General features: G+C 41.3%; 1 pseudogene; it reads left to right on the plus strand.

The window, feature by feature from the left end:
- EEF1A1P2 (eukaryotic translation elongation factor 1 alpha 1 pseudogene 2) lies at positions 12,850-14,761 on the plus strand (annotated as a pseudogene).

The raw sequence follows: 15,285 nt of genomic DNA on the forward strand, positions 1-15,285 counted from the left end.
GGAAATAAAAGGTGTGTTTAGAATCTCCACCTTGTTAGTACAACCACTGTGAAGATGTCTGGAGGTTTCTCAAAAAACTAAAAGTATGATTCAGCTATCCCTCTTCTGGGTATATACCCCAAAGAAAGGAAATCAGTGTATCAAAGAGATATCTGCACTCCCACATTTGTTGCAGCATTGTTCACCATAGCTAAGATTTGGAAGCAACCTAAGTGTCCATCAGCAGGTGAATGAATAAAGAAAATTTGGTTTATATACACAATGGAGTACTATTCAGCCATAAAAATTAATGAGATCCTGGCATTTGCAACAACATGGATGGAACTGGAGATCGTTATGTTAAATGAAGTAAGCCAGACACAGAAAGACAGATGTCACATGTTCTCACTTATTTGTGGGATCTAAAAATCAAACAATTTAACTCATGGAGATAGCAGAATGGTTACCAGAGGCTTGGAAGGGTAGTGGGATGCTGCGGGGAGGTGGGAATGGTTAATGGGCATGAAAAATAGAATAAATAAGACATACTATTTTATAGCACAACCAGTTGACTACAGTCAATAATAACTTAATTGTACATTTAAAAATAACTAAGAGAGTATTTCCCTTTCTGCAAATGGGAATGAAGATAGAATCTATCATAGAATTATTGGAAAGATTAAATAAATACTTTAACTTGTCCAATGGCAAGTGCTTAATACACGTTAGCAATTTAATAATAATAGCTATTATTATTATAAATCAGATTCTTGAGGACAGGGACAGTCTCATGTTTCATATTAGATAGTGCAATGTTCAATCGATATTTGTTGCGTTAGTTTTATCTTACAAAGCAGTGAGAGGTTTCAACACAGAGCACAAAATAACTCTGGGGTTGGTATTTCTCCATAGCATCATCAAAACAAGCTGCCTTGGCTGATAGAAGACCAAAGTCTTTGATTCAAGAGGCTTAACCTTTGCATTCTTTTCTCATAGCCTCCAGTTCAAGCGCTCAGCTTTCTACCTCCCATTGTCTCCCAGAGGATGAGTTGGTTTAGGCTGATTGCTGGCTCCTGATCTTTGGAGAAAGACTCCTTATAGGCCGGGCGCGGTGGCTCACGCCTGTAATCCCAGCACTTTGGGAGGCCGAGGCGGGTGGATCACGAGGTCAGGAGATCGAGACCATCCCGGCTAAAAAACGGTGAAACCCCGTCTCTACTAAAAATACAAAAAATTAGCCGGGCGTAGTGGCGGGCGCCTGTAGTCCCAGCTACTTGGGAGGCTGAGGCAGGAGAATGGCGTGAACCCGGGAGGCGGAGCTTGCAGTGAGCCGAGATCCCGCCACTGCACTCCAGCCTGGGCGACAGAGCGAGACTCCGTCTCAAAAAAAAAAAAAAAAAAAAAAAAACAAAAAACAAAAAGAAATGCAGGTGGATGAGGCAGTTTCATGATTTCAATGATCTACAAATTGATGACGCCAAAATCTGTACTTCCAGTCCCTGCCTTCTTCCTGTGTTCTAGATCCACACACCTAGCTCTTTATTGGATCACTTCACCAGTTCACAGGTGCTTGAACCCATGTCCCCAAACCAATGTGGTTATTTTTGCTTTCTGAGTCCCCTCCTCAACCTTCATTCCCTCAGTGAATGACACCACCGCCTACCTTGTTATTGCTCATGCCAGAATTTGGGGAATTATTCTTAAATCATCTCCTTGTGTCACTCACCTCTAGTTATCCCAAATTCTGTCAGTTTAACATCTTTAATATCTATTTAGTCTGTCCATTATTTTCCACCTTCATGTACAAGAAAAGGAAGTAGAAGTAAGGTGCTGAGCTACCAAGACAGGGTCCTGTAATAGAGTGTAAGATTTCAGAGATGCAGCAATTCTAATTGATTAAAATTACTTCTATGTAGTGGCTGGAAATTATAAGATAAGGTCTGATCTAGAGAGATCACAGCATTGAAAAAATGAGGTGCACACCTCTTTCCTATACATAGGAGAATTATCCACCTTATAAATCCTTAACAGTTGAAAATGGCAGATACTCAACTTTTAAGCTGTACTTGCAGTTAAAACGTGCGTGGAACCCAGCTGCCATCAACTAGATGTAGCCACTGTAGGCTTTGAATTTGGAGTCACAGTAGCAGAAATAGTATATGGTGCTGCAAGACTGTGGGCCTTACACAGAAGTGACAGTGTTGACTGTGGTGTTAGTGGTTGCAGTAAGATTACGCTTCTGGTGCAGAAGTGGCAGCAGTACAAACAGCAGTGTCTAGTAGATTGATGGCCCTTATTTGACTAGCTCTGTAGTGTGCTTTTGGGCATTGGTGCTAGCTGATTAGACTTGAGCCCTTCCAATTAGTCAGAAGATGTGGCAGGCATTTTTGCAGCTGCAATAACAGAAAACATCATTAGTAGTGGCTTAAGCCATTAGGATTTTAAAATAAGTTTGGTGTTAATAGCTACTGACATTTTTTTTTTTTGAGACAGGGTCTCACTCTGTTGCCCAGGCTGAAGTGCAGTAGTGCAATCTAGGCTCACTGCAACCTCTGCCTCTCAGGCCCAAGTGATCCTCCTGCTTCAGCCCCCAAAGTAGCTAGGGCTACAGGCACGGGCCACCATACCTGGCTAGATTTTGTATTTTTTGTAGAGTTGGGGTCTCACCATGTTGACCAGGCTGGTAGCAAACTCCTGGGCTCAAGCAATCTGCCTGCCTTAGCCTCCCAAAGTGTGCTACTGACATTTTGTCAATAGGTTGACAGTGTCAAGGTTCTCTTTCAGCCTCTTGGCCTTTCCCTTAGGCTGCCATCTTTGTCAAGACAAGGATCAGAAGAGGGGACAGGTTAGCACCAGTTGTGTATTTCATTTTAATCAGAGGAGCCAAAGGTTCCTGAAACTCCAGCAGACTTAGGCGTACATGTTGTTGGCCAGAGCTGAGTAACATGGTCAACTAGCTGCATGGAAATGTAAGAAATGAGTATTTAATGAGCATTTGGAGTGTCCAACCTCTATGATACAACTGGAGATGAAGAAGTTGAGAAAAGGAAAGCTAATCTACAATGTCTGCCGCTTAAAATAACCTTTTTAAAAAGATATTGTGGATATTGTTTCAATCAACCAGAATCAGTCTGCTGCTTCCCACAAAGAATCCTGTATGATAATCTAAGGCTTGACAACTAATAAGATCAAATATGAAAGGAGACAGGAATTAATGATGATTCTAAAAGCAAAGAATTAGAGAATGGTGCCTCTATTGATTGAAATAAGAAAAACATTTACTAAGGGGTGAATGATGTCTAGGCTTACTCTGTTTACTTCTTTACCTGCTTTTAAAATGAGAAGTATGTTGCCACAGCTGAATCTCTAATTGGTAAAATATGTGGCAAAGATATTTTTGAATTGGAAAAGCTCACTTTACCTGTTTCAGGTGCCACAGTCACCTCTTCTACATTTGGCTGGCTTCTCCTGGTACATTTAAAGGTAATTTTGAATTTTCAGTGTTATCATGGTTGCTTTGAGAATGAGACTCCAGCTTGTCTTTGCATAGGGCTTGTTACATAAGTGGTAGAATTAATTGTTCATTAAGGCAGTAATTGAGGTTGATTAAATAGTGATTTAGTGAATCAGTTACAATATAAGTTCATAAAAGTGCAGCCCTTAGTTATTGATTTTCTTTTTGTTACTTTTTCTTTGGGGCAAAATTTATTGAAAATTGACAGTAAGAAAACCCTCTCAGAGTCAACTAACAATACCAAGGTCCTCCCACCACCACGGACTGCTTGCTACTTCAGTGCCTTTGAATGTTCACTGCCTGTACTTGGCTAACTTTTGTTCTTCCTTTAAGACAGCCCACTTTAAAAATTATGAATATTGCTTCTTTTGGCAGAGTCAGTCACTATTGCTTTCCCCAAGGAACCCTGTGTGATAATCCAAGGCTTGGCACCTCATAAGAACATGAGTTGGTTTCACCTTCTCCAGAAAGCCCGTCCCTAAATTTAGATACCCCTTCTTTTAGAGGGGAAGGCCCCTTGCTTTATTTATCTCTTTATTCCATGTACCTGAGACAGGTCCTCAATGAATGCTTGTTGAATATAAAAATGGGTCCATACTGGAGAGCTTACAAGTAATTGGATATTGTCTTGATCAATGGGGGGATGAGAGTGTCATACTAAAGAAAGACAGAGAGAGAGAGAGAGAGAGAGAGAGAGAGAGGGAGAGAGGGAGAGAGATCCAAGCCATTCCTAGTGTATGAGAAGGCCAGAGATTAAGAGAAGGGTGAGACAAAAGTATAGGCAATGTCTACGTAAAGCTCATATTGCCTTGGATATTAGAATATTGGAATCTTTACTTGGCTGTTATGTTAGAGTTTTTCACTTGCCTACAGCTATAAAAGTTCATTTGCTTTTTTGTCACCTGCTTTAATTTTTCAAATCCCCAGAGGTCTTACTCCCTGATATGGTATGGCTATGTTACCACCCAGATCTCATCTTGAATATTAGTTCCCATAATCCCCACATGTTGCAGGAGAGACCCAGTGGGAGGTAATTGAATCTGGTGGCAGTTAACCCCATGCTGCTGTTCTTGTGATAGTGAGTGAGTTCTTGCGAGATCTGATGGTTTTATAAGGGACAGTTCTCCCTTTGCTTGGCACATCTCCTTCCTGCTGCCATGTGAAGAAGGACGTGTTTGCTTCCCCTTCTGCCATGATTGTAACTTTCCTAAGGCCTCCCCAGACATGTGGAACTGTGAGTCAATTAAACCTCTTCCCTTTATAACTTACCCAGTTTCAGATATGCCTTCATAGCTGTGTGAAAATGGACTAATACACTCCCCCAGCATGACAGAGTCTCCCAAACCATGGCTCCAATCTCTCATACCCTCCTTGGAGAAGCCCATGCCTTCTCATCTCTCTAACTCTATGCAACTTTAGCAGCTTTGGATAGAAGCTATGATGATGGCATCTCTCTGCCCTCTCTAATCTTCTAGATTGGCAGGCAAAGGAAGTAGCTGGATCTATTCCATATCCCTTACTTTTCTATGTCTCTTCAGAACCAAAAAGACTGTCTAGTAATTTAGAGCCCCAGATCTGGCTTACCATTAAGCTGGTTTATCCAGTATACTCACGCACTTTGGAACTTAGAGAGGCATAGTCATTTGCCCTTATAGCTCAGTAAAATATATTCCAAGAAATCTCATTCTTTCAGGTTCCTGAAATAATTCGTGCTTAGTTTCCCTTTCTGCTGCCCCTTCCCTCCCAACTTAATCTATAGTTAATTGCCTTTTTCATGTCAGCTGGCATAAGGACAGAAATGTTTCAGCTTTCTTAAGACATCTTTTCCTAGCTTGATCCAGCTGCCTTTGTTTGTGGCTCTATTTTGATGCTTGATATGATTGTTCATACTGTGATTTTTAAATCTGAATAATTCTCTTGTGTTTTTAGGAGTAAAGTGCTATTTGGAAATCTTACAAATAAATAGACTCAGGTTTCCTCTTCCTATCAGAAGAAAGAAGAACAGGCTCCTCCCTCCCCATGTTCCTGTAATATTTTTTGTATAGTGGAAGTCAACAACTCACTTCTTCTACCTGCTGTCCATGTCCTTGTTTAGTGACAGCCATTGGCTAGTGATTTTTGGCTGAACCAGAGGCACCCCCCAACCCCAATGAGAAAATTAAGGTCAAACTCAATCTTCTAATTTTAGAAACAAAATCAACTGGCTTTTACATTTCAAAGGCCGTTATGCCATTTATTTCAAAAGTGATGTGTTATTTGTACTTGGCTTAAACTGGGCCAACCTACTGGAGTATTTTGTGATCATCGGCTACCAGAGGCTCCAGAATCGCTGCAGGATCTTGTTAAAATGGCTGCCTGCTCCTCCTTGGAGAATTGTGAAAGTACAAAAAGAAATCATTGTGGTTAGAAAAATCTTTTTCTGCTTTATTATTCAAAAAGCACTGCTGTTAGCTTCTTCTGTGAGAGTGTTTCCCAGGGATAGTCTTAATTATTGATGGCTAAATTCTCATTACTTAATGGAATTTGAACTTCAAGGGGAAACAAGAGGGAACTTTTCTTGCTAATTGGTGACACACATTGTCTCCTCTACATCCATAGAAGAAGATAATGGCTTGGCAGAAAAGAGCGATCAGAGACTGAGGAAAGACACAAGGGAAAGGTGAGACAGGAGAGAGAGGTATGCATTGACTTCTCATCTGGAACCCTACAAGATGTTTTCTGGTTCTAATTAGAACTTAACACTACTCATCTCTCCCATGTATGAGTATGTAATAGGGAGGAAAATCATTGTGAATAAAACATTGTTGTTCTTCCATAGAGATGCTTCTGTTACAGGAGAAGTCCTTGGTGAACTTGAATATGAAAAGGTGGCCTACAGGGCAGAACTCTGACTCGTTCTTCATCATATATTAAGGAGATTTTAGAGTTGGGAGGGCTGTAGGGATCTCGGGGAAATAATGTGTAAAGTTGGAAGGAAAATAGTACAACTCCTTAGGATGACCCAGGCTGGATAATATCTTTCAAGAACAAGGATGTCTAATGCTTAATTTGAACTTGTGTATATTATTGTGATATATACCCCTTTCCCCGGAGAATTCTTTAAGTCAGCTTTTTTTGTTTGTTTGTTTATGTATTTTTTTTTTTTTTTTTGAGACAGGGTCTCACTCTGTTGCCCAGACTGGAGCATAGTGGCACTATCTTGGCTCACTGCAGCCTCCGCCTCCTGGTTTCAAGCAATTCTCCTGCCTCAGTCTCTAGAGTATCTGGGATTACAGGCTCGAGCCACCACACCAGGCTAATTGGTTTTTTAAAATATTTTTAATAGAGATGGAGTTTCACCATGTTGGCCAGGCTGGTCTCAAACTCTTGGCCTCAAGTGATCTACCTGCCTTGGCCTCTCAAACTGCTGCGATTACAGGCATGGGCCACCATGCCTGGCCTAAATCAGCTTTTGCTGAAACAATATTGCACAATAAACAACCCCAATCTTAGTAGCTTCCAACAGCAAACATTTATTTATTTTGTTTCAGTCTGTGGGGTTAACTGCAGTTAACTGTGCTCCCAGCTGCAGGTCAAATTTAGGTCTGTTCCTATGGCTTTCATTTTTTGGCCCAGGCTGAAGGAGCAGTAGCTCCCTGAGGCAAGCTCTTCTCTAGGAGGGCTGGAGCAGAAGTAGCCAAGCCAGACTGGGCAAGCACTTTTAAAGCCTCTGCTCAGAGGTGGCTTACATCATGTCTGCGTCCATTCCATTGGGCAAAGCCAGTCACATGGCCAAGTTCAGTATCAAAGTGGGAGGGAGCGGAAGTCTATTCCTTCCTCAGAGGAGGGGAGGAGGGAAGAGTGAACATTTAAGAACAGTATTTGCTAAATAATGCCACCCACATCCTCTAACCTTCAGGAAATCTGGGGAAGTTCACTGGCATGCATGCACATGCACTGCCTTGAATTAGGATTTTTATTTTATTTGTTTATTTACTAATAGAATAAGGGAAAGTATGAGTTGCAAATCAGGTTGCCACAGAGTGAATTCAGATGACACAACACTGAGCTCATTAAGTAGGAATCCGAAGCCAGGTGACCTTGAAAATCCTCTATTTGCAGAAACTGTGTGTGTGTGTTTTGCACAGTTAACCCTTCAAAATCCACAGACTGAGCATTCAGATCAATCCTTTTTCTTTTTTAAGGGCTGAGAGACCATAGTTTACATCTGGACTACGTGTAAGCTTTGAGACCAGTAAAATTATTCTCTCTGGTTCTGCTTGTCGAAAACCAATTCATGTTCTCAAGTCTATCTCATTTTATACTGCCATTTCTTTTCCCCAGATAAAAATCACCTGATTGGCTCTCCGAGACTCACTGAAGCCCTTGGATGAGTCAATTTCCTATCCAGCCTTTTAGTGTCACCTCTGTTTTCACTAAGATATCTGGCAAAGAAAAGGGAGAGACTTCTTTTGCCAAAGGCTGTGAACCATTGAATTTGAGAGTTCAGCTCCTGTTTTTTTCTTACTTTTTGCTACAGGCTCAATTAGGGGACTCAAAAACCAAAAGAAAAGCAAAACCCCAAGGCTCATTGTTTGTCTCAGTTTTGCACCAGCTTTCTGCTACCTCCTGAGCCCAGATCTTTTCAAATCTTTTTTAAATTTGAAGATTTGCAGTCTGTTACTTTTTAATAAGTGCACCATCCACACAGTCATTTTTAGACAACTCACCCACCCCAACCATTTCTTTTCCCCGAACAGAAGCTTATTTTCGGTTTGATTTCTTTTTTACTTTTTGCAGAAGAATCCTTTGCCTGAACTAATAAAGAAGAAAAAGAAAGTGCCAGTATTCTTTTGCTTCACAATACGGCAGGAATGAGGAGGAGGCAAAGTATATCTTTTAAGGAAGGAAAAGATGAGGTTAAAGGAAATGGATGGATCCATTGAATTTGATGACGTCCACCCCACACGACCTCCCTGCCTGGCTCAGCTTTGCATGGCCTTGTTATTGTTTTTATATTCCCTTTTCATAGCAACTTTTCCAGAGAAAAGAGACTGGACAAAGGGATTATTTCAGTAATTTTCCTCATTGTTCCCTTGGCTCCCATGGCCGTCTTTTCCAAGGCTGATTGTTTACTGCTAGCTAGAGTGGGCTCCTCTCTTTTCTGCTGTTATTATTTCAAAAGACAGTTGTGTGTTGAAGAAAAATATCATACCAGGTTCTTGTTCTTTAGAATTGAATTAACTAGCTGAGAAAATGACTATCAGCAACCAGTTAGCTTTTAAGTTGGAGAGTTCCTCGTCCATAAGAACATAGAATTTTAGAGCCACAAGGTATTTAGAGATTGTCATTTCCAACCACCTTACTTTATAGATGGAGTTCCAAAGAAACTGAAGGCTTTCCCAAGGTCACACCACTAGTTATTGGTAGTACTGGGACTAGAGCCCAGCCGTCCTAATTCTATTCTTCCCATACACCTAATTTAATTCCAGAATCTAGATTACACTTAAAGGCACAGACATATTAATCTTTAACTTCTAAAGTGGCAGACTGAGTTTTAACAGAGAGAATGCTGAAATTCTCAGTAGAGATAATAAGGGGGGTCTTTGGGGAAAGAATAAAACTGTACAAGAATAAAACAGTTTCCCAGCTTCTTGCTTTTGGTAGAAATATATCTAACAAGAGAGTTCCAAGCATGCAAATGTAAAGAAAAGAGTTTGATTGTCAAAGCTAACCTGAAAAATTTTCTCCTGCATCATTCTGGGAGACTCCAGAACAAAGAAACACAATGTCATTAACAAAGGAAGGAGGGATTTGAAAGGGCTCAGTGCTTTTACACTTAAAACATATCCTTTTTTTCTTCCAGGTTATAAACATGGTTTTGGTGATGGAAATTTCTTACAAAGCAGCACAGTCTCTTTGCCCTATTCCTGTAACAATAACACTGAATTTAAATAACTCTAATCTTCAAATAGGCTAGAGTATCTTGCAGATATCTTTGAGTTGTTTGATCACTTTCTCTTTGCCAGTTTCCCCTGCATCACTCAGCTCTGCATGGCCTTTTAATTTTTTCCCATATTTCTTTATCACTGCAACCTTTTCTTACAGCAAGAGAAGACTGGGAAAAGCAATTTCAATCATTTCCCTCACCACTCCCTTGGAAAGTAGAGGGTAGAGGGTGGAAAACAGCTGTTGTGGATAAGGGTGGTGGGGCAGGAGTGAGGAGTTGTGGAAATATTGATTATTTGAGTCTTAATTTATTTCCTAAAGGGAGAAGTCTTGAGCCTTCAAAATTGAGGAAGTTATTTAAAGTTGAGTGTTCAAATTGGTAGAAGGGAAGGAGGTAGCATTAATAGGCACAGATAAGTCTGCATATTTTAGGTGTTGTTGCAAAAACATGTGCCCCCTTTTGCTGTTTTCCCCAGGACCTGGAGCATACAGTCCCCGAGTATAGAGCTTTCCTGGAGGTCCCCTCCTTGCGTCACCAGTCTTGTCCCCTTCCCTTTACCTTTCCTTCCTCCCTCTTTGTGTTTCTCTCTTGGTTTTTGCTTTCTTTCCTTCTTTCATTGAATCACCTTTCTTTTATGTCTAAGATTGTTGGGCGCGTGTTTTCGGGTTTATAGGCCTCTTTTATTTTATTTTAAATAGTATTTAATTTAAAAATTCATAATCATAACAACAGTGTAAATACCAGCTGCCTTTTATTGACCATATTTCTAAGGGCTTTCTGTATATTTAATCACCACCACAGAACTACTGATCACTGCTCTTTCCTCCATTTGACAGATGAGGAAATGAAAGTTAGGGAGTTGAATAACTGATTTACAGTTTTTTGTTTTGTTTTGTTTTTGAGATAGAGTCTTGCTGTGTCACCCAGGCTGAAGTACAGTGGTGCGATCTTAGCTCACTGTAACTCCTGCCTCCTGGGCTCAAGTGATTCTCCTGCTTCAGCCTCCCAAGTAGCTGGGACTACAGGTGCCCACCACCACACTCAGCTAATTTTTATATTTTTGGTAGAGACATAGTTCCACTATGTTGACCAGGCTGGTCTTGAACTCCTTACCTTAAGTGATCCACCTGCCTTGGCCTCCCAAAGTGCTGGGATTACAAGTGTGAGCCACTGTGCCTGGCCATTATTTATGTTATTTCTGTTGAAGAGGCAGTAATTGGAAGAGCTGAGATCTGAACACATGCTTTTCCAGTTGGAAAGCCTGTTTTCTAGATGTTACTATGCTATCAATAACCATCTCCTTCCTCCCCTTCCTCCACCCGCACCATCTCCAAAATCCCTGGAACTTAAATCTTTGCCCTCTATGTGATTTCTACACGTGGCATCAAAGTTTCTGGCCAAAAAGCATGCTGTGTGATTGTATTCACCTTTGACAATCAAGGTGGAGCTGCACTTGTGTTTGTGTATTAAGGATGAACAGAGCAAAAGAAGAGATACCTTGGTTAATTAGAGTGTCAGATTCTGGAAGGTTTCTTAGAGAAAAACAAGAGAGACACAAATTCATTCAATTTGTTCCACAGATAGTTATTGTCATTGAGTCTGTAGCTTTCAGAAAAGAAAGGACTCCACTTGAAAAGAAAACCACTCAAACAGTCTTCCTCATTCCTACTTCCAGGTGCTCATTAAGGAAGTTTTGTTTCAAAATACTTTGATTTTAAAATGGAGTGTCAAGGGGTCCTGGATCAACAGGTCTGACAGGAGCTCAGTCTTCTATTTATTTTCAGAAAAGGAATAAAACACATTAGGCTAAGGAATTAAATCTCCGTCCCACCCCCACCTTCTCTCCCCTCTTTTCCTTTCTCCCTGCCCTGACCCTCCATCTGAATGTCTTTGTCCTGGCTATGCAGAGAGCATGAGAGAGACTTGAAAGCAGTGTGGTCAAGTGTTGTGTTCAGCACAAGCTCTGCTTGGTTGGCAAAGCGCTTCTTTTCTCCTTGTCAATATTTCTGTAAGTGAAGAGACAGGCACATGAAAAGAGAAACACACCTCTCCTGCTTCCTTAGTGACTGTTTTCTGTACCTATGGCAGTTGCTGTGATACTATCTAGGGATCTCCCCAGCATGCCACAGTCCTGTGTTTGAACCTCAAATCCCTGGAAATCTCACCCCCAGTGCAGCAGGAGTTTGCTTGATCAGTCCTGAAGTGCTTTGGAAGCAGAGGTCATGATGGCTGTTGGCAGTGGTTGACATATATGAAAGAGAATAAAGATGAAACCCATCAAGTTTAATTTTATTCTAGACTTTAGATGGAATTCCACTACTGAATTCCAGAGGGTAGAAGGCCAGGGCTAGCTCCCATGCCTGCTGGCCTTTGTAGAAGAATGTTAATTTGAATAGCAATGTGAAAATGACTGCTGTGTTATTTGCCTAGCTTTAGGTAGAATATAATTGATGATAATAAACAATATTTGAGTGCCTTCTCTGTATTAGGTTTTACAAATATTATTTCCTTAAATCTTTACAACAAATCCACGAGATGGGTAGGTCATCTTTTACCCATTTTTATGTATAAAGAAACTGAGGGCCGGATGTGGTGGCTCATGCCTGTAATCCCAGCACTTTGGCAGGTGAGAATTCTACCACTGAACCACCAATTTAATCTCAGCAATTTGGGAGGCCAAGGTGGGCAGATTGCCTGAGGTCAAGAGTTCGAGACCAGCCTGGCCAACATGGTGAAACCCTATCTCTACTAAAAATACAAAAATTAGCTGGGCATGGTGGCAGACACCTGTAATCTCAGCTACATGGGAGACTGAGGTGAGAGAATCACTTGAACCTGGGAGGTGGAGGTTGCAGTGAGCTGAGATCCCACCATTGCACTGCAGCTTGGGTGACAGAGTGAGACTCCATCAAAAAACAAAAACAAAAACAAAACAAAACAAGAAAACAACAACAGAAAAACAACAAACCGAGGCTCAGGGTTTTTGGAATATTTCCCCAAAGACATTTAGCAAGGACTGGGACTCAGAAGCCCAGGAATGCTCTTTCAATTTGATGCACTGTATATATTATATGTATCAAAGTATTTTCTGTCTTCTAGGAAGGACTATATCCTGTGGAATGGAATATATGTGGGCAGAAGTAGGAAATGGCCAAGAGCTCAACATTATACTATTTAGATAGTCAGCCCTAGAGTCCTAAGAGGAAACTAGAGTAAATGATGCTTTGCAAGAAGTCATAAAGTCTCTGAAAGAAAAATACTTATGGTATTCACAGGTGATAGTGACTTGGAAGATAGATATTTAAAAGTTACAAGGATAAGAGATTCAGAATTTGTTAAGTGGACTAGAACATAGAAATGGGATGCACCTTCAATATCAGTAGTCAAGAGAAGGCTGGAAAGCATCCATTACAATAAAGTTTGGGTGTTTTCACAATGGATTTGCTGCTAGAACACAAGTGTCATGAAAAACATGGCCTAAAAGCCAAAAGGGGAAAAGAGAAGACTCCAACCAACATTGATGTCATTGGACACTTAGGTTCAGGCAAGTCCACCACTACTGGCCATCTGATCTACAGATGTGGTGGTATGGTGGTATCGGCAAAAGAATCATCAAAAGATTTGAGGAGGAGGCTGCTGAGAGGGAAAAAGCTCTTTCAAATATGGCTGGGTCTTGGATAAACTAAAAGCTGAGCCTGAGCCTGATGTCATCATTGATATCTCCCTATGGAAATTTGAAACCAGCAAGTGCTATGTGACTATCATTAATGCCCCAGGACACAGAGACTTTATCAAAAACATGGTTACAGGCATATCTTAGGCTGGCTGTGCTGTCCTGATTGTTGCTGCTGGCATTGGTGAATTTGAAGCCAGCATCTCTAAGAATGGGCAGATCCAGGAGCATGCTCTCCTGGCTTACACACTGGGTGTGAAACAACAAATCCTTGGTGTTAGCAAAATAGATTCCACTGAGCCACTCTACAGTCAGAAGAGATACAAGGAAATAGTTAAGGAAATCAGTACTTTCCTTAAGAAAATTGGCTACAACCTTGACACAGTAGCATTTGTGTCCATTTCTGGTTGGAATGGTGGCAGCATGCTGAAGCCAAGTGCTCACAGGCCTTGGTTCAAGGGATGGAAAGTCGTCCGTAAAGATGGCAATGCCAGTGGGACCACACTGCCTGAAGCTCTGGACTGCGTCCTATCACTAACTTGTCCAACTGTCAGGCCCTTGCATCTGCCACTCCAGGATGTCTACAGACTTGGTGGTACTGATACTATCTTTGTGGGCAGAGTTGGTGGTACTGATACTATCTTTGTGGGCCGAGCAAAGCCTGGGTTTCTCAAACCCGGCATGGTGGTCACCTTTGCTCCAGTCAACATTGCAACTAAAGATGTGTTGAAATGTACCATGAAGCTTTGAGTGAAGCTCTTCCTAGGGACAATGTAAGCTTCAATGTCAAAAAGGTGCCTGTCAAAGATGTTCATTGTGGCAACACTGCTGGTAACAGCAAAAATGACCCACCAGTGGAAGAAGCTGGCTTCACTGCCCAGGTAACTGTCCTGAACCATCCAGGCCAAATCAGTGTTGGTTATGCCCCTGTAATGGATTAACACACAACTCACATTGCTTGCAACTTTGTTGAACTGAAGGAAAAGATGGATCACCATTTTGGTAAGGAGCTGGAAGATGATCCTAAATTCTTGAAGTCTGGTGATGCTGCTATTTTTGGTATAGTTCCTGGCAAGCCTATGTGTGTTGAGAGCTTCTCTCACAATACTCCTCTGGGTTGTTTTGTTGTTTGTGATATAAGATAGACAGTTGCTATGGATGTCATCAAAGCAGGGGACAAGAAGCCTGCTGGAGCTGGCAAGGTCACCAAGCCTGCCCAGAAAGCTCGGAAGGTTACATGAATATTATCCCTAATACCTGCCATGCCAGTCTTCACCCTTTATGCCTGACGTTGCATTTTTTTTTTTGAATTTTTGCATTCAGACCTTGGCAATGACCTTGAGCAGTAGGATATAAATAACTCCCACATGCTTAGCATTCCAGTAATGGAACAGTAGGCATAAATGGGTTTTAATCAGTGGTGGAAGAACAGTCTCAGAATTATTTGTTTCAATTGACCATTTAAGGTTAATAAAGGCTGGTTAATGATAACAGTGCATTGTAAAAAATTCACAAGGAAAGGAGAGTGTTTTGTGGATTTGTGTGTGTGTGTGTGTGGCAGTTTTAAGTTATTAGTTTTTAAAATCAGTACTTTTTAATGGAAACAACTTGACCAAGAATCTATCACAGAATTTTGAGACCCATTAAAACAAAGCTTAATGAGGAAAAATAAAGTTTGGGAGATAAAGGAATACGAAGAAAATTTCAAGAGCCTAAATTGCTTCTGTGGATCAATCCTGGGGTCACAGAGTTGAGGACTGAATTTCTGATGCCTATAATCCCAGCACTTTGGGAGGCTGAGACAGGCAGATCGCTTGAGGCCAAGAGTTCAAGACCAGCCTGGCCAACATGGCAAAACCCCGTCTCTACTAAAAATACAAAAATTAGGCAGACATGGTGGCATGCATCTGTAATCTCAGGTACTCAGGAGGCTGAGGTAGGAGAATTGCTTGAACTGGGGAGGTGGAGGTTGCAGTGAGCTGAGATCGCGCCACTGCCCTCCAGCGTGGGTGACAAAGTGAGACTCCGTCTCAAAAAAAAAAAAAAAAATAGTGAATGCACTTTTAGCCTCCTTGAGTCTCGGCTGTCTGGTGTATCAGGTCCAAAACATAGTGATCTAAGCCCGTCAATCCGAGGTCTGTGTTCAGGTGTGGGTGTCATACTTTATGAGGAACATACACATATGGAAAC

The sequence above is a fragment of the Homo sapiens genome, chromosome 14 (genome assembly GCF_000001405.40).
Source record: "Homo sapiens chromosome 14, GRCh38.p14 Primary Assembly".
Lineage (NCBI taxonomy): Eukaryota > Metazoa > Chordata > Mammalia > Primates > Hominidae > Homo > Homo sapiens.